We start from the raw sequence: 23,832 nt of genomic DNA, 5'->3' as shown, positions 1-23,832 counted from the left end.
GTTCATGCCATTCTCCTGCCTCAGCCTCCTGAGTAGCTGGGACCACAGGCGCGTGCCACCATGCCCGGCTAATTTTTTGTGTGTATATTTTTAGTAGAGATGTGGTTTCACCGTGTTAGCCAGGATGGTCTTGATCTCCTGACCTCGTGATCCACCCACCTCGGCCTCCCAAAGTGTTGGGATTACAGGCGTGAGCCACCACGCCCGGCCTATTTTATTAACTTTTGTCTGATATCCCTTTAGAATTAAGCTTCATTTATTTGTTAACTATGCACATATGTGAGTGTTTAGTATGTGCTGTGTGGTTTATAAGAGCTAGGGATATGGCAATGGATAAATGCCCCGTCCCTGTGGAGCTTACTTTCTAGAGTAGGAAAGAGACAAACTACCCTTCTGTTTTGGTGATTGCTATATTCTAAACACCTGGCAGCATGAGGCAGTTGTTCATATACCTGAGTGAATGTTTGGTCTACTTGCTAGAAATCATGCCAGATGACTCATAAAGCTTCCTTCATAAATAACCTTGTAAGAGAGATAATGTTGCCATTTAAAGGTGAGAAGGCTGTAGCTAAGAGAAATTAAGTAACTTGCATTCAGTTACACAGCTAATACATGTCAATACTCTACCTGTATAATTTAACATAAACACCCAGTTTCTAACATGAGAGCTGCTGACAGATTGATCAAGCAAGAAAGACCATCTTTCTTTATAGAATAGACTGAACGTGTTTTACTTATTTGATGAATCAAATGCATCTTGGGTTTAGCCTATTGGTTATAAGCCATTTGGATCTGCCCGTTTTCTTCAAGTATTCCTACTGTGATAGGTCTTTGATTTTTCCTTACCATATCTGCTAGTCCTCAAAATAATTGGCTATCATCATTGAAACCCGTGACATTCAAAGTTCTCAAAAGGGTTACAGAAAAAACAACACTGTAGGCACTACTTATTAATAGTACTTCATCTCTAAAGCTTTAACTGGTCTCTTGTGAGATGGGCAGGACTATTTGTAAATTTCTAAGATATCACCTATTAAGCATACAATATATATAAAATTAGTAAAAGGAAAAGTGTCTATTCCATATTGCCTTTCCCTGGGGTTGCTCAGATTTCTCCTAAGCCATCTGATCTGAGACATCCCTGGATCAGACAGCATTCTGTTTGGTTATTATGACATAAATGTCAAGCCAATGAAAAACATTCCACTATGTAGAAGAAAAGGGTCTAAGACAGGTAAAGTTTCACTAGGCCAGTTCTATTTATGATCCCTTTATTCCTGCCACTAAAAGTATTATCCCTCTGGCATCCCCAGCCCACAATTTTTAAGTTCCAAAACAATGGTTTCTAAATCTGGCTGATCTAGGTGTGTTTAAAAAACATCCTACAAAGAGGTGGAATATAAATTACTGGACCCATTTCCTAAAGATTCCATTCAAAATGTCTGAAGTGAAGTGTAGGAATCTCAAGAGCTCCTTAAGTCATTCTGAAGTATAGCCAGTTTAGAAAAATGTCATTCTAGGGAACTCCATTTTGTCACTCACCCATTTCTGGGTATCTTCAGGTAGATGACAGATTAAGGGAAACAAGCACTTTTCATCTGAATACTTAAGAAATACAACAGCCCACTGGATGCCCACAATTTCTAATCCCCTGCTGTTTAGTTATTCAGTTTCTGCACTAAAAAGGAACAAAGAAAAAACCCCATAAAACAAATATTCAGATTCTCGTTGACATTACAAAGAGCTGCAACAGGAAGAGTTCTTTTTCAATCAGAGGGCTGTTATATATCAGATGTCTTCCATGTAAATTACTTAAATTTTCACAAAACAATTCTACTGCTTGAACTGAGAAGAAAAATATTGCCTAGAAAAAATTCCTCATGATTGTGGAAAATATTCATGTACATCAATTTTAAAAGAGAGGTTCCTAAAGTATTGTGTGTAAAATTTTTTGTCCCAAATTCAGTATTTTTAAATATACTTGAAGAACTGTATATATTAAATAAACCAGACTCAACATGTCTACAAAGCAAGTAAGAGATTTTGTGAAACAAATATATCTAAAACATAATCCCACATAAAATAACAATTCCAAGTGACCTTAAAATACAAGAATTTACCTCCAGTGAGATATACCTAAAGGACAAAGGTAACTACAACATTCTTAAACCACTACCAGTCATCAAATTATTGACAGTAGTATTGCATTGAGATTAAAGTGGAATAAAGCAAATAAACAACTGTGTGTTGCTCATAACTAATATTTTTGGCATGAGTGAAAAGAGATAATAATATCACTGAAACTAAATAAATGCCTTATCATTCTGAATGTAAATCTTTGAATTGGAACTATCACTGTGAATTAATAATGTATCTAATCTTAAAAAAATAGAGTTCTAGTACTATCCACTGAAAAGGCCTAGAAACAATGACAAATCCAGTAATAGACTGTGGACTCTAAATACCATTTCCTAATACAAGGAACCTGGCATCCTAGAAAAACAGATCTGGGACAGGAAATGTACAGGTTAAGGGACTTTGTGTTAAATGAGAAATCAAAAAAGCCATCAAAAACTACTAGGGTTCTGTGAAAAAGACTCAGTTCTCTCTAAAGATGAGACAATTTATGCATAAATGGGAATAATAAGCTGCAAGAGATAGAAATATATCAATATATCAAATATATATATATTTTTTGAAATGGAGTTTCGCTCTTGTCACCCAGGCTAGAGGGCAATGGCGCAATTTTGGCTCACTGCAACCTCCGCCTTCTGGGTTCAAGCAATTCTCCTGCCTCAGCCTCCCGAGTAGCTGGGACTCCAGGCATGCACCACCACGCCCAGCTAATTTTCTGTATTCTCACGCCTGTAATCCCAGCACTTTGAGAGGCCGAGTTGGGAGGTTCACGAGGTTAGGAGTTCGAGACCAGCCTGGCCAACATGGTGAAACCTCGTATCTACTAAAAACACAAAAATTAGCCCTGCATGGTGGCAAGTGTCTGTAATCCTAGATACTGGGGAGACTGAGGCAAGAGAATGGCATGAACCCAGGAGACTGAGGTTGCAGTTAACTGAGATCATGCCATTGCACTCCAGCTTGGGTGAAAAGAGCAAGACTCTGTCTCAAATAATAATAATAATAGAAATCTAAACACTGGATGGATATTTGGTTATTTTGAAGAAGCATATTTTTTTTACATGTGAGTGAAATTTTTTTAAGTGATTATCTTTTAGACACATATACCACTATTTATAAATGAAATGTAATTTCCAGAACTCACTTCAAAATAATCTAGAAGTGGAGGAAAAAGGAAGGTGGCATGGAAGGAAGTGAATGGAAGTATAGAGGAAACCAGATTGGCCCTGAGTTGATAATTAATGAAACTAGATGACAGATACTTGGGTGTTTGTTATATTATTCTACTTCTGTATAAGATTGAAATCTGTCATAACAAAAAGTTAAGATTTTATCTAAAGGTAGACCTTCACTGAAATGAATCAACTTCAACATCTCTCTTCAACCACTAATACAGGTAATCTCCACTTCAGTGCAACATAAACAGGAGACATAAAACAAGACCAAAGACTGAAAGTAACTGGAAAATAACACAGCACACATAATCACCCACAAACACAACCACCATCATCAACCAGATGTGCCCACAGATACTGCAAATTTGATCTTATCATTCGATCAAATTTGTGAATTATAGATAACAATCTTGAGGCATTTTGAAGAACCATAATATATAGTTTCAAATTTTAATGTCTGAAAAGTGAGGTATTGTATTTTGATATATGCCTACACCAGAAAATAACCGAGATTTTAAATTAAATTTTATCTCTTACAGGGAAAGGTAAGATAATATTGTGTTACAATAAATTGGTACTTTAGAAACCTAAGTACCATATGATCCCTTGAAATGATCCATATTTCAAGGGAGTTCAGCATATTTAGACTTTCACTAAGTTCCACCAAGTTGCCATTTTGTGACATGTATGAGCTCACTATGTTATATTCCCCTGCCAAAACAAGTATTTTCTTTAAATACGTTGATCATAAGGTATTCTGGCTATTAATAACTATCAATTGAATGCTTACTAAAGTGTCAGTTACTCTGCTAAATATCATTGCTTGATTTAATCCTTTTAATCAGTTATACCCCAGTGGTAGATATATATAACCCACACTTTACAAATTAAGAAACTAAGGCTGCAAGTAAATTGCCCCAGATGAAATAATAAACATATTGATTCCTACTGGTTAACAATAGTAGGTCAGTTTTTATCAAATGCTTGGCAATATGTGAAAGTTTGTACATGTTATTTCAACACTCTCAAAATTCTATGAAACAGTCTTCATTTAACCAGGAGGGCATTCTCATCATAAGTTTCAAGGAATTTGCTAAAGGTTCATGTGTAATAACGGGAGAGCCAGGATTTGAACACTGATCTGACTCCAAAGCTCATGTTTTTAGCCAGTACATTTAACATCCTCCTAAACTAGCTTCCTGTACAGGTATTCCCATATTTTTAATGTGCATGCACAGAATTGAATACATACTCTGGCTATGGTTTGTTGAGACTATTACTTCTGATCTTCATAGATTTTAATATTAACATTATGATTTTACATTTCCAGAATGTTCCGCCAAATTTAAACCTTAAAGGTAAAATTCCAGCTTCAAATGATGGTGTACTCAAGATTCTCAATTGCATCAGCTGAATGCTGAGTTTTTACATCATATAAAGTTTGATAAAACTTTTTTTGCATCTTTATTATCGCTGATGAAATCATTGTTTACATTACAGAGGAAATTGTTGTATTAAATAGAATCTTGAAAAACCAAAGATTTCCTTCAAGGTCACCATGAATTATTAATGGAACAATCCTTGCATCAAATGTCTTGTACAGGCTGGGCATGGTGGCTACTTTCTGTAATCCCAGCACTTTGGGAGGCTGAGGCGGGTGGATCACCTGAGGTCAGGAGTTCAAGAACAGCCTGGCCAACATGGCGAAACCCCATCTCTACTAAAAATAAAAATTAGCTGGGCATGGTGGTGTGCCTGTAATCTCAGCTGCTTGGGAAGCTAAGACAGGAGAATCACTTGAATACAGGAGGCAGAGGTTGTAGTAAGCTGAGATTGTGCCACCGCACTACAGCCTGGGCAAGAGAGCAAGACTCTGTCTCAAAAAAAAAAAAAAAATGCCTTGTACAAACAAAGTCTATGCCTTTCCCTCTGTTGATAAACCATCACTCATTTACAGACCAGTAATTATTCTTATATATTATATATATATTTACATTAATAACTTCATTTTTTTGTCTCCCTATAAAGATTTAGTTCATTTTTCCATGATTAAGTCTTAGTAAACTTCTGATGGTTTAAGAATACCATTTATAAACCATTTTAAGAACTCTGCACATTTTAAAAATTATCTTTAACTATCAAAAGGTTTTATTTTTCTTACACTTTGTTCTTTGATATTAACTTGGATTCAGTTGAGCAGTCCTTAATATTTTGTATTAAACCAAGTAACTTCAAATACAAGAAAATATTTTAGAACTATGCACTAGAAAAGGTGCGCCATAAGAAGAAACTAGATATGAAAGCATAGTCTAAACTCTTCAGAATTTAAAGACTCATTATACTACAGTGTTAATAACTAGAATAGGCGGTAGGGAACTTGAACTTAGCAAGCTAGAAAATCTTAGGATGGGTTTTATAGCTGAAATTGTCTTTTATAAATCAAAGTTTGTACAGTGTTCATACCATTTTCTCTTTTGTTGTCCATGAAATATGAAAAACTTAGATAACATTAATTTGTTTACGTACTTAGGCTACAAAGGGTCAACACACAAGCTTTTGAAATACTTAAAAACAGCACTATTTTACATAGTAGGTAGACAGAAAGTACAGGCAAACTGGTAAATCTAATTGATACACAGATTTTTTTTTTCAGCAAGCTTTATTAATCCATCATGGATCTACTCATGTTTGCAGCAGATACCATGATTTCAGTATCAGTGAAGGGAGAAAAAAAAAAAAACAGCCTTCAATGCCTGTCACATCTAAGCAGATCTGAACTACTATGGGACTAAATAGCCTAGCTGGTCAATTGTTTTTACACATCTGATTAAAAGCTTCAGCAAAAGTGGAAATACATTAAAATTCAAAGTCAAATACTGTTCTCCTAGTGCCTCAAGTAGTTTATTGGTAGTTATTATCCACATTTCTATAAACATTCTAAGTGACCATCACTAGTGCAGGAATATTTAACATATGAAGGCTCCACATCAAGCTACTTCATTCATTTTGTGTGACACAAGAATCAAGGTTCCAAAAACTGTTATGCCACTGAAAAAAAAAAAAAACAAAAAAACAAAACCCAAAGCCAAAACAAATCCTGCTAGCAAAGTGCATTTCTTTTGGTGATTTTTCAGAACAGCTGTTGCTTTAGACATAAAAAATAAGCTGATTTAGTAAAATATGGTCACTGGAAGTAAGTGTCTGTAGATAAGAATTAGATAAAGGCCTTTCCTCCTTATAGAGCTTTTTATTCCAATGTAAACAGCACCAGTGAATTTTCATAAAACAGGTTTGTTATTTTCCCCTCATTTTCTATAATTGTAATTCTTATCTGCCATACTGTTACCATTTCTTCCTCTCTATAATCAGGACTGGACAGCCCATGTAACACTGTTCAATTTGTAAACAAAAAATTAAAGCTCGGAACACATACAGGTTATCTTTTACATTTTCATTCTACAGCGCATCAGGTATATTTATAAAGCTTTTGCTCTTCTCAACACACTACAAAAATATATAAAAACCACATTTGTTTTTAGCCAGCAAATATTAATAAAACAAATATCTTGTAACTGGAATATTTTAGAGACCACATATTTTAATTACATCCTCTTGACTAAATCGCCTTCTTCATAAATCCATATATGTATCCAGTGCATATTTATTAGTTTACATGCCCATATTTACTATGAATGAGTCAATCATTTTAGGTTCTTCAAGTGAAAGTGCTTCTGACAACAAACTATTCCTATAATAGCCCTAAATCCCCAAAAAAGTTGTTTTAAACCTGTGTAGAACGATGCATAGCTATTTCTAAAAAGTAAGACTACACACCAAAACATGCTTTGTCAGGAAAACTAATCCATGCACTTGAATATACCCCAAATATCTTATTTTTAATAAAGGTAGACCAACTTAAACATTGTCTAGAATTAAGCTATACTATTAAATTACTTGATTCCAGAAAGCGTCAAAAATCATTTGGCAGAAACTTAAAAAAGAAAATACTTACTCCTTGTCCCTTACTTCAAAAAAGGACTGGTTGGACCAATGTGATCAATATAACTGCATATATGTTAATCTACCTTAACATTTCCATCGATTAGCACTTGATCGTTACAAAGCCTTGTATGCAATTTTCTTGCAAAGGCTTCCCCCCGAAAGATGTAAGCACAAAACACTAGGCAGACACTCTTTAAAGTTTTATTTCACTAACTTCAGACCAAATTCCCACAACTGTGTTCTGGTCAATTTACTATCCTTGCTTGGCTTCCCCAAATGGTAGTACCAAAAGATTTGTGGGGTAGGGAGAAGAGACCACTTTAAGAAGCACTGCATTTACTCATCTTCCACAAGGCAACAGAGTTGGGCATCTGATTGTTCAACAAAACAAAGCTTTAATAGCATCCAGGAGGGCAGACAGGCAAACCACGCTGTAGACACTCTTCTATTTGTCAAAATCAGACCAGAGAAAACCTACTCCACACAGATATAATAGGTATTGATATTCATCTTTTCTTTTTCTGTTGCCGCAACATTTTTCTTCTTTTAATGATCATATCATGTAGTTTCTCAAGTCCTTCCTTTAGGCCATCTCCTATGATTGCACAGGTAGGCTGCAAATGCCAAGGAGTTGATGAGCTCAGTTCACCCATTGCTAACAATTTCTCAATTTCTGAAAGTGACAATGAGTTCCTCAAATCTTGTTTGTTAGCAACTATAAGTACAGGGACTCCCTGATTTTCTGATATCCTAGTTATTTTGTGAAGTTCAGTTTTGGCTTCTTCCATCCTTTCGACATCAACAGAGTCCACAACAAATACAATGCCATCTGTGCATCTGGTATATGACTTCCACAGTGGCCTTAATTTCTCCTGACCACCTACATCCCAGAAGTGAAAAGTGACTGTTTTAGAATTTCCCAAGGTTACCTTAATTTTCTCAGTGTTAAATCCTTTGGTAGGTACGGTATTTACAAATTCATTGAACTGCAGCCTGTATAAGACAGTTGTCTTTCCAGCACAGTCCAAACCCAGAATAACAATGTGGAAAGACTGAAATGAAGGCAGGTTGGACAGGATAGAAGTCTGGTCTGACAGCCCATTCCCCATTTCCAGGTGCAAATAAATGTCCCAAATTGAAATGCTTTTCTCTTCTTGGTTTACAACTTCTCTTGGTAGCTGATCCAGCTATAAGACTGCTGGGAGACGGAAGAAGGAATAAGTTATTCTCCCGAAATAATACATTAAAACAGGTTTGCTCTACTTTGCTAAAATAAACAACACGAAGAACTTACTATAACTTGCTGCGCTAAACAAACCAGACGAGATATGAAACGTACATGAAAACACACACAGTCCAAGACAAACGATGGAATAACAGTGATTGAAATTATCTGGTTTACTTAAATTGCAGTAATATGTACGTTTTTCTCCTGGGTCCCCAAACCTCAAAGACCTCATTCTGGAAAGAACCCAGTCACCAGTATCTGGTCTAAGTGGCCGTAACCACAAAGTGCCTATCTGGCAGAAAACTCATAGCAGATAGTCCTATCTTCGGAATCTAATTCCACATGCTTAACAGCATACCCAAGATCACTATTACCTCCTACCCCTTGCAAAATAACAACGTTCTCACCTCCCGATCTGGAGTCTGGGTCCAAATGAGAAAGCATTGGCAGGCGTTTCTACGCAGGGATAAGCACCCTTCCAGCTTAGCTCTCCAAGCAGCTCTGGCAGTTGCCGCACGAGAAACCTTGGACTCAGACTCCGACCACGCCCACTCCTCCCGGTCCACTCATGATCCCAAATCCCATTGGTCACCCGCATCAGGGAAGCCATGCAACTCCCGCCCCCGCTCCCTAATTGGTGAGGGTAACTGCCGCTCCCAGCGCGGCGGAGCTGAGCTCTCTCTCGGTCCACCGGCACCACCTGTTGCCCTTAAGTTAGAAAAGGCGGCGTTCCCAGAGGGAGCCGAGCAGCCGCTGCAGGTGAAGGGGAGCCTCGGGCGGTCAGGTCGCCGCCAGGCTGCCGGCTCCGTTCGGCCCGGCGCACCTGCAGCGCAGCCAGGGCGTCAAGCCAAGGCTCTCACATCCGGGGCCCGCAGTCACTGCCAACGCGTTAACCCTTTGTCCGCGGGCCCGAGGGTGCCGGCTGTTGCCGCGCGGGCCCCTGAGGCGCTAGAGATCCCACCTGGCGCGCCCGCCGGGATAAGCCCATCCTCCCCGAAGTGGGATCCCTTCACCCTGTCCCTCCGCACACGACCGGCTCTTCTCCCTCGGCAGGGCGTGGCCGCCCCGGCCGCCCACCCCGCCGCGGCTCACCTGACTAACCGTCCTTCCCTCTTCTTCATTCAGCGTCTCTCCCAGCCGCTGGGGAGGCGCGCTGATACCTGTTCCCTGGCACCAGGGAGGCGTGGGCGATGGCAGAGGACTGGGCGCCTGGCGGGCGCCGCGCGCCAGGCTGCCCTAACGGTGCTCGCCCGGCAGCTCCACGCGACAGTCCCCGCCCCCTGCCCGCGCGCCGCCCGGGCGCCGGCCTGTAGGGGGCGCGCAGGAGCCGCGTCTCCTAGCAACGCCAAAACAAGGTCGAGTTCGAATCGGCCTAGCGCTGGCTGCCCGCGAGGTCGGATGGGACTTCCGGCCTCACCCCTGAACGGTTGCTCCGGGTAGCTCTGTCTGCGGCGGCCCGCCAGCCTGGCACAGGCCCCGCCCGGCACCGCCTTCCCTCACGTCGTCTAGGGCGTCCGCGGGGCAGCAGCCACGTGATTCGCGGTTAGGGATTCCATAGTTCACGGGTTACGGCACACACGCGTTACGTATATATCGAGGTGACGTGGAAGTCCCCCAGTAGTTGACCTTAAACAGCCTGGGTTGACTGGCCTGGTAACTGCGCCTTCATTCGCTTTTTGTAGAGCAAATGAACGCGCTGTCTCACGTGTTTCTAGCAGCATCCCGGGGAACTGGCCACAGATAGAAATATTCCAGTTTGACACATAAGGAAATACACTCTGAAAGATGAAAGGGATGTTTCTTTTTTTCTTTTCTTTCAAATTGCTCACACAATTTTAATTGCAATAGATATAATTTCCAATATACCATTCAACTACACCATTTGTATGTGCTGGAGTGAGACAGGAGTATTTTGATTGAGTGTCCAGTTCTCTTTAAAACTAGCGTTTGCAGTTAACGACTTGGAAAATACAACACAAAAAGCCATCTAGCCTTTTTTTTTTTTTTAATCTCTATTTATCCCTTCAAAATTCCCTTTGTGGCCATATACATACTAGGTGGCTCTACCTGCAGAAAGCTGCATTTTCCAAGCAGCGGGAGAGTTTAATTCTTAACTTTCCTGTACTCCAGCCTCTGCTGGCTCCCTTGCATTTTTGTTTCCATCCTCTTCTTTGTCTTCTGTGCCTTTCGTTCTAGGTTAATCTGCGCAAGCTCTTCACTTTTGTCTGAATGTATTTTAGCGGTGAATTACTCCTTCTGGCTAAGAGCTTCACATCTTCAGTGTTAATGGTGGTGGTTTTCGCATGTCTTGCACACATTTCTAGATCTTGCACTGTCGAAAAGTCAGCTCCGAAATTGCTGCAATGATAAGTTTGCTGAACTGCATCTCTGCCCAATGCCACTTCCTCGCAAAGACAACCCACAGTGTAGTCCACTGCTGCCTCCTTTGGCCTCTGTTGGTAAGAAAATGGCTAAGAAAATCGCTGCTGCTCCTCCACCTCCACCTCCTCCTCCATCAGAACGGCGAGGCAAACGCGCAGAACAGAAAGGGGCTGTGGGGCAGCGGCCAGATTGGATTTTCTCTCCGCAGCCCCAAAGGGATGTTTCTAATGACCCAAGGAAAATTAGTGGTGGTCCTGGAACTGTTCATCTAAGTCTACTAGTCATCAAATGCAAAATGCTTTTCATTGGATGATTCTGACTAAATTTTGTCTTTGATCAATAAGTTCACAAATATTTATTGAACACCTAATAGGCAGTAGACACAATTCTGTGTGCTTGGGGATAAAATGGTGAGCAAAATACACTGTCCCTGCCCTTGTGGAATATTGGAGTCTCTATGGATGACTAAATTTATAAAATGTTTTCAGCGGTAATTTCAGGGTGCTTATGACAACCTGCAAAAGAAGTAATGACTTGAAGTTGTAGGAAAGCTTTAATCGACAAACATCTTTTTGGTGAAGGCTGTAAGACTGTAACTTGGAAGAACCTATATGGTACACTTTTTTAAAAGTGTGCTTTTTTTCTTTTTAAATATGGATTGGAGTTTCCTCAAGAAATATCCTAGTTTTTCTCAAGACCGCTATTGCCAGTGATATTTATTTCTTTTATGACTAGCACAGGAACATGCATACTTGTCATACCGGATTCTTTAAAAAGTCGAGACCAACCTGGCCAACGTGGGGAAACCCCATCTCTACGAAAAACACAAAAAATTAGCCAGGCGTGGTGGCGGGCGCCTGTAATCACAGCTACTCAGGAGACTGAAGCAGGAGAATCGCTCGAGCCCGGGAGGCGGAGGTTGCCGAGCCGAGATAGCGGCATTGCACTCCAGCCTGGGCAACAAGAGCGAAACTCCGTCTCAAAAACAACAAAAACAAAAACAAAAAACGACGTAAAAACCTAAGTTCTGAGCACAATGCATAATCTCAAGACAGCCACACTAATTTTGGGAATAAGAGCTAGAAATATCAAATGGCATATTCTATAAACATGAATCTATTATAAACTAAGGATTGCCTGATTAGTTATAATTGTGAAATCTCATTAGCCATTCACATAATCAGCTAATAATTGATAAAGGGCTTAGTGCAATAACCTATTTCCTTTTATTGGAAATTCAATAGGGATTCTTTATTAAACTGGGATAACTTGCAGATTCTCCTTAAGTCAAGAATTTAGAGCAAGAAAATTCTGTGGCCACCCTCTGTTTACAGTAGTTTTGAAATCTCTAAGTCCTTCCAGTGTTCCTTGCACAGTCTTCCCTGGAGCAAAAAGGGAAAAAAGGAAAACAAAAACACTGAGGGCTTCCAATCTTGCAGAATCGTCCTCACTGAATTGCACTTTAATGTTATACCCTAGGTTTTAAAACTACAGTAGTGGTTGGCAAACTGCAGCCTGTAGGTCAAATTCAGGAGATAAGAATGGTTTTTACAAGTTTAAAGGGCTGCAAGAGAATGGATAAGAAAAGAATATGCAATCAAGATCATCTATGCCCCCCACAACACACACATACAAAATAAATGTGCTCTCTGCCTCTGTAGAAAAATGTTTGGTGTGCCTGTTCTATATATAAAAACCATATGAAAACAGCAACAAATGATATTAAAAGCAATGGAATTTGTGGAACACAAGGTTCACTTTGTTGCCTGATCTTATAGAAGGCCCATTCAGAGCTTTTACTTACATTCTATGCCAGAAAAAAATTCCCTTTAGGGCCTGTAGCTTGTAAATAGTGCTCTGGGGTGCCTCAGAATTCCTAGGGGTTCTGTGGGATAGTTTAACTTTTTGAGGGAAACACAGTGACATCTGTTGGACCATATTAACAACTACAACTATCAAGTTTGGATCTATCAATTTCATAAATAGAAATGTTGGCTATTTATTTTGGCCTGAGGTACCATGAAAAAGTACTGAGGCACTAGGGCCTCTGCGAACCTCACCTTTAATTGTGGTTTTCCAAACTTGGCTAATGATGAGAATCACCTGTTAATGCTTGTAAATGTATAGATTCCTGGTTCCTCCTATTTCAGACCCCCCCAAATCAGAATCATCAGGAGAGGAGCCAGTGATCTGTATTTTAAGTAAGTATTTCAGATAATTAATGATTAGACACTTTGAAGAAATACTAATCATAAGAAATGGGTAAGTTTTCTCCTTTTAAATAACTACAACTGAGTAATTTACTTTGATTCTCTTTTTGAATTAAATATCAGGACCCAGATCAAATCTGATGCCTGTGTTCTGACTTCTAAGTAGAAGCTAAACAATGGATGCACATAGACATGTAGAGTGGAATCATAGACATTGGTGACTTCAAAAGGTGAAAGGGTGGGAGAAGGGTGAGGAATGAAATACTACCTATTGGGTACAGTGTACATTATTTGGGTGATGGCGACACTAAATGCCCAGACTTCACCACTACACAATATATCCATGTAACACAACTGCACTTATACCCCCTTAATCTATGAAAATAAAAATTAAAAATCAGATGCATGTAGCATTCTTCTTCTCTTACATAGCCTGATTTTTTATGATATACATAAGTTAAGCATGCACATACTGAAATCGTGTCCTTCCTCACCTTTGCCACAGCCTGTGTATGTGTGTGTATGTGTATAGATAGATATAGATGTATATGTTTAGGATACCTCACTTTAGTTGTTTCCATGCATATTTATTATGAGAATAATAGAGAATTTCTTAGAGAATTATTGAGAGGGATATAAACATTGATTCCCTTGTATCATTTTATTAGCATCCTTGCTAAACACATGGCCTTCCTCTTTTAGTTCCTGTTTTGGTTGACGGCAATTTATTCAGCAGTTCCAAGTGGAAATTTCAGGGCCATTTAAAAAATTATCCTATATCCCACTTATGATTAGCTATCAAGCTCCCTTTAATTCATGTCTTTCCATTCCCATTTCCACTACTTGGATCTGGTTTTTGTGACCTCTCACCTATACTAATTTACCTCCTAACTGATTTTTCAGCTAAAAAGCAGTGGAGCAGGAGTTTGTTTCCTGTGTCTGGCTCTGAGTCTCTTCTCTTACCCACTGTATTCTAGGGAGTTCTCATTTCGGTTAATTCATTTTGATCCATGGCAGCATAGAGCCAGGGTACAATTTTTGACAAAACTTTAGAAAGAGGATGTCAGAAGGGAAGTACAACCCAAAATTCACTTGGAATGGGTCCTAGATAAGAATTTCCGGAGTCCACAAGTCTAAACCCTCCTCCTGAACTTCTTTTATGGACAGCTTCAAGGCCTAGCTCCACCTAGTTTCAAGTCACAGGACAGTTTGTCCCTTCCTCTGGAAAAGCCTTCACATGCATATCCATACCTGAGTGCAGGTCCAACTGCCAGGAGGCCCAGTGGTAAAAAGGCATTATGCCACACTACAAGAGGCAGATCCAAATATAAGAAATAGGGACACAGAAAGTGAGTCTTGTGTAGTGTGGCATGATGCCTTTTTACCACTGGGCCTCAGAAGTCAAAGCACGAGACGTGAGATGTAAAAGGAAAGCAGCTTTTTTTCAAATGCTGACAGATGGAAGAATGGCTGGGCTCAGGCCTCGAACCATCTCAAGCTTTAGGCTGGGGAGAGGAGTTTTAAAATGGGAACCTGGAATGGAGGCAAGTGGGAGTAGTGCTGGGTACAAGGTCTATGTGTCTTGTTCTGGTGGCTGTCTTGAGTCATGGTCTACCTGGAGTGCAGGCTGGCATCAGAGTCTCAACAATGGCCAGGTTGTAGATTAACCACCTTGAGGTAATCTCTGGAATTTCACAACTGGGTCTTTGTGTCTAGTTTGTCTCAAGATTAGGCCCTGGGGCCAGGGCTTGTGGCTCACGCCTGTAATTACAGCACTTTGGGAGGCCAAGGCGGACAGATCATTTGAGGTCAGGAGTTCGAGACCAGCCTGGCCAACATGGTGAAACCCTGCCTCTACTAAAAATACAAAAATTAGCCAGGCGAGGTGGTGGGCATCTACAATCCCAGCTACTTAAGAGGCTGACGCAGGAGAATCCCTTGAACTCTGGAGGTGGAGGCTGCAGTGAGTTGAAACCGTGCCACTATACTCCAGCCTGGGCAACAGAGTGAGACTGTCTCAAAACAAACAACAACAACAACAACAACAAAAACTTTGGCCCCTTGAACTTCTAAGTAAGCACATAATTAGATAAGCTAGCAGGGCAAGGGAGTGTCTGGTGTGAAGGGCCGGAGACAGAGTTTTAAAGTATGTTTCAAGGCTAAAAGCAAGAAAGGAAAAAAGTTTCAATATGCATTTTGAAGCTAAACTACTTGGTTACACTGGCATGATTGACAGAACATCCAGTCCAACAGGGCCTCAATAGGGGGACACATCAGAACAAATGAGTCCTAATTATTTCCAGCTTTAACTAATATTGTGTGTTATATTTTATTTCTACAGTCCAGATCTGTGCACGCTTTTGTGCATTTCTGTCTTCTTCCATGAACATTTTAATCCTCTCTGTCACAAGTTTCCATGGCCTCTTGTTGGAGTACTCCAAGGCTCCTTAGGTCTTTATACTTTTTCCTTACGTAATTTCATCCATACCAGGGATTTAAACAATCTGTATTCTCCCAAATTTGTCTCAACGTAGACATCTTTCTTGAACTCTACAAATGAATGGCAGATAAGCATCTCAGCCCCTAAACCTGCTCTTTTCACTCAATATTTATCTCATTCATTAGAACCCAATATATCTACATCCTCATACATCCAACATGAACTCTCAGCAAGTCCTGTTGACATATATATTCAAACCTGACCACTTATCACCACCACCACTGCTGTGTCTCTAATGCCCATCAAAATTCCAGAGCCTCTCATGTAGTGTCTCTGCTTCTGAGGTTAAGCTCTTTCCCAGGCTTCAATATCACCTCCTCAGAGAGGCCTTCCCTGAAAGCCTTATTTAAAATATCTGCCTTGTACCCCTCTCTCCACCAGAACTCTCTATTCCTATTCCTTACTCTGCTTTTGTTTTTCTTCTTTGCACTTGTTACTACCTGACATGATTCATATCTGTCTATTGTGTTCCTTCTCTAACTGTCCCCCTCTTACTTCCTATTGTAAGTTCCAGGAAGCAAGGATAATGTCAATTTTGTGTGCTGCCTTCTCCCCCATATTTACAGCAATGTGTGTGTGGCACACAGTAAGAATTCAGTGGATTTATTGAATGAATGCTTATTATCCTAAGAATAACTACTCAAACAAGAATCCACAGACCTCCACAAAAAAAGTGATAGTTTTTTTTTTTTTTTTCTTTCTGAGATGGGGTTTTACTCTTGTTGCCCAGGTTGGAATGCAATGGCACAATCTTGGCTCACTGGAACCTCTGCCTACTGGGTTCAAGTGATTCTCCTGCCTCGCCTCCCGAGTAGCTGGGATCACACATGCGTGCCACCATGCCCAGCTAATTTTTGCATTTTTAGTAAGGAAGGGATTTCACCCTGTTGGCCAGGCTGGTCTCGATCTCCTGATCTCAGGTGATCTGCCCACCTCGGCCTCCCAAAGTGCTGGGATTACAGGTGTGAGCCACTGTGTCCGGCCAGAAAACATGATAGTTTTGAAGGCAAATTTTCATACAGAGAAAATACAAATGACATATACCTTTTTGTTCTTAAATAGACATGAATCCTGGAGAAACCACTTTTAATGCAATATTACACAATAGAATGCCTAGCTTTTCAATGTAAAATATCTGCATTAACAGTTATTTCACTATTAGTAAAACTAATAGTTGGGTACTTGTTATGTTGTTATACCTAATGGTCCCATTCAAGGGGTTTTCTAGGCCGGGTGCGGTTGCTCACACCTGTAATCCCGGCACTTTGGGAGGTCAAGGCAGGCGGATGACCTGAGGTCAAGAGTTCGAGACCAGCCTGGCCAATATGGTGTAACCTCGTCTCTACTAAAAATACAAAAAAAAATTAGCTGGGCGTGGCGGCGTGCACCTGTAGTCCCAGCTACTCAGGGAGGCTGAGGCAGGAGAATTGCTTGAACCCCAGGAGGTGGAGGTTTCAGTGAGCCGAGATCGCGCCACTGCACTCCAGCCTGGGCGACAAAGGGAGACTCTCTTCTCAAAAAAAAAAAAAATGAAAATAAATAAATAAATAAAATAATAATAAAGGGGGGTTTTTCTAAATCCTAAAAGCAGGAGGCCCCAAAGGAATATTCAGACTTTTACAACTTTTAAGGCAGAGACTAATTATAATTTTGAGAAAAATAATTTTTCTCTACCTTCAAACCATCAATGTTTAACTCACATTTCAGCCACATTTTTTCTGTTTTAAGTATTTCTGGTTTAAACATTTTTTTTGTTTGTTTGTTTTTATCCAATATTTGTTTATTTTATTACTGTTGGTCATCCTGTGATAGGGGTGGAGGCAGAAATATCACAGTGCATATGGTTAACACTATCACACTATTCCCCTTGAACAAGAAGTGAAAAAAACATTTTACCACCGTGAGTTGGAAATGGGCAGAAGTTTCCCTTTTTAATTTCATAAAATGTATTCCTTATACATTTATCTGTCTAGATAAAGCAAAATAACTCTTACTACCAAGGGTTCATATGTGCCTGATATAAAACATATAGCAATCACTGTTCAAATGATTGTTTAGAACAATCATATATAATTGCAAATGCTCCCTCCTTTGTGAAAAACAGAATAAAGCTGGGAGTGGTGGCTCACGCCTGTAATCCCAGCTACTTGGGAGGTTGAGACAGGAGAATTGCTTGAACCTCGGAGGCAGAGGTTTCAGTGAGCTGAGATTGTGCCATTGCACTCCATCCTGGGCAACAAGAGTGAAAATCCATCTCAAAAAAAAGAAAAACAAATAAAGAAATTAGATAACTAATTTCAAATTATCTAATCTATACCATCTGTATAGTTAATGAGAGAAATTTAGTTTTTGCTCAAAAGAGAATTTGTATCATAGCACTTTGGGATGTTTTAGTTAAGACAAAATATTTTTATATCTAATGAAATGATACAGAGTAGAAATATTGCCTCAAATACCAACAACCCCCAATTTTTAAAGAATTCCTAACAATTTAAGATATCTTTAAATGAACTCTATGGATATATACAAAACAAATAAACAATATATTAGTTCTTTTTGCAAGGGACTACCCACTGAGTAATTTTATCAAGACAATTTAAAAAGACTATGGCCTAAGATTCTAGGGAAAATAATGGGAAGAGAAAGTTTTATTACATTTCTCTTAAACCTATTTTATTAATTCACTTATTTATTTTATTTTATTTTTTGAGACGGAGTCTCGCTCTATCACCCAGCCTGGAGTGCAGTGGCGTGATCTCTGCTCACGCAAGTGCTGCCTCCCGGGTTCACGCCATTCTCCTGCCTCAGCCTCCCGAGTAGCTGGGACTACAGGCGCCCGCCACTACGGCCGGCTGATTTTTTTGTATTTTTAGTAGATATGGGTTTTCACCGTGTTAACCAGGATGGTCTCGATCTCCTCACCTCGTGATCTGCCCGCCTCGGCCTCCCAAAGTGCTGGGATTACAGGCGTGAGCCACCGCGCCCGGCCCAATTCACTTATTTAAAGACAAATCCCACAAACATGTTATAAAGCAGTGGGCTAGTACTGGAACAGACGCTTAGAAAACTGTAACTTGGCCAGGCGCAATGGCTGGCGCCTGTAATCCTAGCACTTTGGGAGGCCAAGGTGGGCGGATCACGAGGTCAAGAGATTGAGACCATCCTGTTCAACGTGGTGAAACCCCCTCTCTACTAAAAATACAAAAATTAGCCGGGCATGGTGACGTGTGCCTGTAGTCCCAGCTACTCGGGAGGCTGAGGCAGGAGAATCTTTTGAACACGGCAGGCAGAGGTCGCAGTTAGCCGAGATTGCACCGCTGCACTCCAACCTGGAAATAGAATGAGACTCCATCTCAAAAAAAAAGAAAGAAAACTATAACTTGAACTTTGTCATATTGCGTGTGTTAGTGTGTGTGTGTGTGTGTGTGTGTGTGTGTGTGTGATCGTTTGTACCTAATGGAAGTGGAGGAGTTGACCAGGTGAAGCAGGTGATAATGTGGAAGACAAAGGATAAATCAAGTAATTTTAGGATATCCTTGTTAACCTTCTGTCTTGTTGATCTGTCTAATATTGACAGTGGGGTGTTAAAAGTCTCCCATTATTATTGTGTGGGTGTCTAAGTCTCTTTGTAGGTCTCTAAGGACTTGCTTTATGAATCTGTGTGCTCCTGTATTGGGTGTATCTATATTTAGGGTAGTTAACTCTTCTTGTTGAATTGATCCCTTTACCATTATGTAATGGCTTTCTTGTCGCTTTTGATCTTTGTTGGTTTAAAGTCTTTATCAGAGACTAGGATTGCAACCCCTGCTTTTTTTTTTGCTTTCCATTTGCTTGGTAGATCTTCCTCCATCCCTTTATTTTGAGCCTATGTGTGTCTCTGCACATGAGATGGGTCTCCTGAATACAGCACACTGATGGGTATTGATGCTTTATCCAATTTGCCAGTCTGTGTCTTTTAATTGGAGCATTTAGCCCATTTACATTTAAGGTTAATATTGTTATGTGTGAATTTGATCCTGTCATTATGATGTTAGCTGGTTATTTTGCTCGTTCGTTAATGCAGTTTCTTCCTAGCATCGATGGTCTTTACAATTTGGCATGTTTTTGCAGTGGCTGGTACTGGTTTTTCCTTTCCATGTTCAGTGCTTCCTTCAGGAGCTCTTGTAAGGCAGGCCTGGTGGTGACAAAATCTCTCAGCATTTGCTTGTCTGTAAAGGATTTTATTTCTCCTTCACTTATGAAGATTAGTTGGGCTGGATATGAAATTCTGGGTTGAAAATTCTTTTTTTTTTAAGAATGTTGAATATTGGCCCTCACTCTCTTCTGGCTTGTAGGGATTCTGCCAAGAGATCTGCTGTTAGTCTGACGGGCTTCCCTTTGTGGGTAACCTGACCTTTCTCTCTGGCTGCCCTTAACATTTTTTCCTTCATTTCAACCTTGGTGAATCTGACAGTTATGTGTCTTGGGGTTGCTCTTCTAGAGGAGTATCTTTGCAGTGTTCTCTGTATTTCCTGAATTTGAATGTTGGCCTGCCTTGCTAGGTTGGGGAAGTTCTCCTGGATAATATCCTGAAGAGTATTTTCCAACTTGGTTCCATTCTCCACATCATTTTCAGGTACATCAATCAAATGTAGATTTGGTCTTTTCACATAGTCCCATATTTCTTGGAGGCTTTGTTCATTTCTTTTTATTCCTTTTCTGTAAACTTCTCTTCTCGCTTTATTTCATTAATTTGATCTGCAATCACTGATACCCTTTCTTCCACTTGATCAAATCAGCTATTGAAGCTTGTGCACGCGTCACATAGTTCTCATGCCATGGTTTTCAGCTCCATCAGGTCATTTAAGGTCTTCTCTACACTGTTTATTCTAGTTAGCCATTCATCTAATCTTTTTTTCAAGGTTTTTAACTTCCTTGCGATGGGTTCGAACATCCTCCTTTAGCTCGGAGAAGTTTGTTATACCGACCTTCTGAAGCCTACTTCTGTCAGCTCGTCAATCTCAGACTGCTGCGCTAGGAGTGAGCAAGGCTACATGGGTGTGGGACCTGCTGAGCCAGGTGCAGAATATAATCTCCTGGTGTGCCATTTGCTAAGACCAATAGAAAAGCACAGTATTAGGGTGGGAGTGTCCTGATTTTCCAGGTACATGGCTTCCCTTGCCTAGGAAAGGGAAATCCCCTGATCCCTTGTGCTTCCCGGGTGAGGTGACACCCCACCCTGCTTTGGCTCACCCTCCGTGGGCTGCACCCACTGTCCAACCACCAATGAGATGAATCAGGTACCGCAGTTGGAAATGCAGAAATCACCTGTCTTCTACGTCATTCACACTGGGAGCTGCAGACTGGAGCTGTTCCTGTTCGGCCATCTTGGAATGGAATCTGGAGATCTTTTTATCATTGAGCATAAGGTTCTAGAAGCTGGATTTTACAATTTTCCACTCAGATCTACTTAATCAGATTATCTCAAGGTAAGGTCTTTAGAAACTAATAGAACAAGAAGTAACTGGAAATCACTGACTGAAGCTGTCAGAAGTTGGTGCAGGATAAATTTCAAGTCACTGATAAGATGGAATGTAGGTGATAATACTAAAGAAGACAGAAGACGGAAACTTGGAGAAAAGCCTATATTTTCAGGTTCACAGAATTTTTAAAAACCAGATTGCTTTGTACAATTCTTTAATTGTTGGGAGGGAGTCAGAAGAGATGGTGCCAGGTACAGGTGCGTTTACTCTGGCAGGGGAGACTGCTTCTCTACTATGCTTACAATCCAGGCCAGTATGAATCCATATTGTGATCTTTGTCTACAGAACTAAAAGAGGGCTTGGACAGAGGTGGAGGAAGAAGGAGTTGCAACTGCTCAGCTGTATTGACAGCAGGACTGTATGTAGGTCTTACTTTCACTTGTAGTGAATGTAGGTCATCCCTAGCACAGAAGGTTGTGTTGCGAAAAGCAAAACAAGCTTTCAGGGAAGATTCAAGATAGGAGTGGTAAGTGCGCCCTCTTTAGGTTGTGCAGGATCAAAGGAAGAATCAAACAGGACTGCAGATCTCATAGTTTCTACCACTAGTTCCAAACCGGGCAATTGATAAGCGTTTAGAAAAGATTTATAGAATGAATAAATGAGCAAATTAAGTGTGCCTTAGAATCTTTGTGCCTCATTTTTCTTACTGGGTTGTTCTGGGGAGAATGAATGAAGTTGCTGTAGCTGTAATATGAATAATTGTTAGATAAAATAGTACTTTATTGATATATGATTACTTTTACTTTTTAGGTTTCTGAAGATCACAGAACTTAACTAAAACAACATATTTGTCATAAGCAATTAAGATTTAAGCATTACTCTAGACTACGGAATTCTTTTTGGTGTAAAGCAGGTAAACTGAGCAATGATGCAGCATAGTTTCTGATCTAGTGAAGAGAAAGATAAAATCGCTGGCTATCTGCAAGTAATTTAATGACCAAACTGAGATCTAAATTTGACATTTGAAAAAAAAATTAGAATTTCTCTAAAAACCAACATATGTTAAATAAATGAATGCAAGGCAGTTAGTTTACAGGGTTTTTTTTTTAGTTTCTCGCATTTATCAATTATCCTCAAAACTGTCCTCTAGGGAAAGCAAGATCTGTGCGATTTACCATTATTTTATAAATGAGGAAACTGAGGCTTAGTTAGGTTAAGAGATTTACTTGCTGAAGATTACTAAACTAGTAATTTTTGGATCTGTAACTTGGCTTACTTCAGGTAAAAGCTCTGTCCTGATTACACACTGACCCGCTTTGGGATGTGGAATGCAGGTAACTCATCATGAGTCAAGGAAGGAAGAAGATTCTTTCAGAAAGTTTCAACTATGACAGATGAAGGCAGAAAAAAAAATATGGAAGGTCAACATATTCTTGTTTTGAAAGTACATTTCCTGTTTTTAGCACAATTATCCCTTAGTATGCTTCATTTATCATAAAGATGTAATGTTAAAGGATTAATAACTAACAGTCTGGAATCTTTGAGAATCGGCAGCAAATTGATGACATACTCAATCCAGAAGAATGTTATGGTCTTAAGGCATCCAGATGTAGTTTCAAAATCAGGGAATGAAATAAAGTCTAAAGTTTAACACTCACAAGAGAAATAACTGATGTTGGGGACTGTCATGCTATCTTCTATTTAAAGGTAACTGCCTAGTAGTAGAAAATGTGATTATCTTTTTTTTTTTTTTTTTTTTTTTTTTTTGAGACACCGTTTGGCTCTGTCGCCCAGGCTGGAGTGTAGTGGTGCAATCTCAGCTCACTGCAACTTCTGCCTCCTGGGTTCAAGCAATTGCTTTGCCTCAGCCTCCTGAGTAGCTGGGACTACAGGCGCGCACTGCCATGCCCGGCTAATTTTTGTTTGTGTTTTAGTAGAGACAGGGTTTCACCGTGTTGCCCAGGCTGGTTTCCAACGCTTGAGCTCAGGCAATCTGCCCACCTTGGTCTCCCAAAGTGCTAGGATTACAGGTGTGAGCCAACACACCTGGCCAAAAATGGGATTATCTTAATGCCCCATGTGATCACCAAATATTAAACCTATATGAGTCTTTGTATTTTCCTTAGAACAGCAACTCTCTATGACATAAATTGAAAATGTATTTGGTGGCTCATTTAAATTCAGAGTCAATGTGATTCTTCAGAAACTTTAAAGATTAAATGAGCCTGAGAGACTGATAAATCAATTCTGTTGTAAATAATATCTTAAGACATTAGATAGAAAGGTTGTACAAAGCCAGATTTTCAAACATTTCAGTAATTCTGCAATTAAACTCTTCTCTAAGGTGTCCTGGTACTAAGTACAATAAGACAAGGGCATGTTTCAGGAAAAATCTGAAATATTAGGAAGTTACGTGTGTAATTTGTGTGTTGGACGATTACAAAGATAAGTGGTGTTTAATTTGAAATCCTGCTATATAGACAATAGTTTATGTTCTAGACTAAAAAACAGAACTCAATCCTACTGTTTTTGTCTCACACTGGAAATAAACTTATTTTATTCTAAAGCAGAGGTATAGGGAAAGTACAAATGATTCACCAAAATATCTTGGGATGACTACAGATCTGTGTGTTTGTGTGTGTATGTGTGTGTGTATCAAAATCAGACCATAATAATGGTTGCTAAACTATTAGTATCAGAAGACCAGTTTAAAATGTATCTTATATCTAAGAGAAAA

At 39.8% G+C, this 23,832-nt stretch overlaps 1 protein-coding gene, 1 long non-coding RNA gene and 1 pseudogene across 5 annotated transcripts, besides 4 other annotated features; 1 reads left to right on the top strand and 2 right to left on the bottom strand.

Moving 5' to 3' along the window:
- Window positions 1-5,718: 5,718 nt before the first annotated feature.
- On the bottom strand, window positions 5,719-9,774 carry ARL4A (ARF like GTPase 4A). 4 transcript variants are annotated; one of them, NM_001037164.3, is made up of 2 exons: window positions 9,634-9,774; window positions 5,719-8,511 (listed from the first exon to the last, which is right to left on the bottom strand). In NM_001037164.3, the coding sequence occupies exon 2, from the start codon at window positions 8,420-8,422 to the stop codon at window positions 7,820-7,822; it is 603 nt and encodes a 200-aa protein (NP_001032241.1). In that variant the 5' UTR covers window positions 8,423-8,511; window positions 9,634-9,774; the 3' UTR covers window positions 5,719-7,819. The 4 variants fall into 4 exon arrangements, with proteins under 4 accessions (NP_001032241.1, NP_997625.1, NP_005729.1 ...); NM_212460.4 differs by having other exon boundaries at window positions 5,719-8,508; NM_005738.5 differs by lacking the exon at window positions 9,634-9,774 and adding an exon at window positions 8,949-9,044.
- Window positions 8,999-9,535: an enhancer, noted in NCBI's record as "H3K27ac hESC enhancer chr7:12726767-12727303 (GRCh37/hg19 assembly coordinates)". NCBI's record gives its function as "activates a minimal SCP1, AML or CMV promoter by ChIP-STARR-seq in naive H9 embryonic stem cells {active_cell/tissue: H9 hESC(naive)}" and the evidence as "EXISTENCE:reporter gene assay evidence [ECO:0000049][PMID:30033119]".
- Window positions 9,480-9,529: a silencer, noted in NCBI's record as "silent region_17980". NCBI's record gives its function as "represses an Ori minimal core promoter by ATAC-STARR-seq in GM12878 lymphoblastoid cells {active_cell/tissue: GM12878}" and the evidence as "EXISTENCE:reporter gene assay evidence [ECO:0000049][PMID:35858748]".
- Window positions 9,730-10,009: a silencer, noted in NCBI's record as "silent region_17979". NCBI's record gives its function as "represses an Ori minimal core promoter by ATAC-STARR-seq in GM12878 lymphoblastoid cells {active_cell/tissue: GM12878}" and the evidence as "EXISTENCE:reporter gene assay evidence [ECO:0000049][PMID:35858748]".
- LOC100505995 (apoptosis-inducing, TAF9-like domain 1 pseudogene) lies at window positions 10,354-11,132 on the bottom strand (annotated as a pseudogene).
- Window positions 20,394-21,593: an enhancer, noted in NCBI's record as "BRD4-independent group 4 enhancer chr7:12714709-12715908 (GRCh37/hg19 assembly coordinates)". NCBI's record gives its function as "activates an origin of replication core promoter dependent on BRD2, P300/CBP, MED14 and CDK7 cofactors, and independent of BRD4, by STARR-seq in HCT116 cells {active_cell/tissue: HCT116}" and the evidence as "EXISTENCE:reporter gene assay evidence [ECO:0000049][PMID:35650434]".
- LOC105375157 (uncharacterized) lies at window positions 21,087-22,641 on the top strand. Its single transcript, XR_927043.2, has 3 exons — window positions 21,087-21,267; window positions 21,906-22,008; window positions 22,377-22,641. It is a non-coding gene; the product is annotated as an uncharacterized LOC105375157 (long non-coding RNA).
- The last annotated feature ends 1,191 nt before the right edge of the window (window positions 22,642-23,832 follow it).

This window comes from Homo sapiens, chromosome 7 (genome assembly GCF_000001405.40).
Source record: "Homo sapiens chromosome 7, GRCh38.p14 Primary Assembly".
Taxonomy (NCBI): domain Eukaryota; kingdom Metazoa; phylum Chordata; class Mammalia; order Primates; family Hominidae; genus Homo; species Homo sapiens.
This window is presented reverse-complemented; position numbering and strand designations above follow the sequence as displayed.

What these genes read in the sequence shown, in the direction of transcription:
- ARL4A (NM_001037164.3), bottom strand. Translation starts at nt 8,422, where the DNA reads ATGGGGAATGGGCTGTCAGACCAGACTTCTATCCTGTCCAACCTGCCT.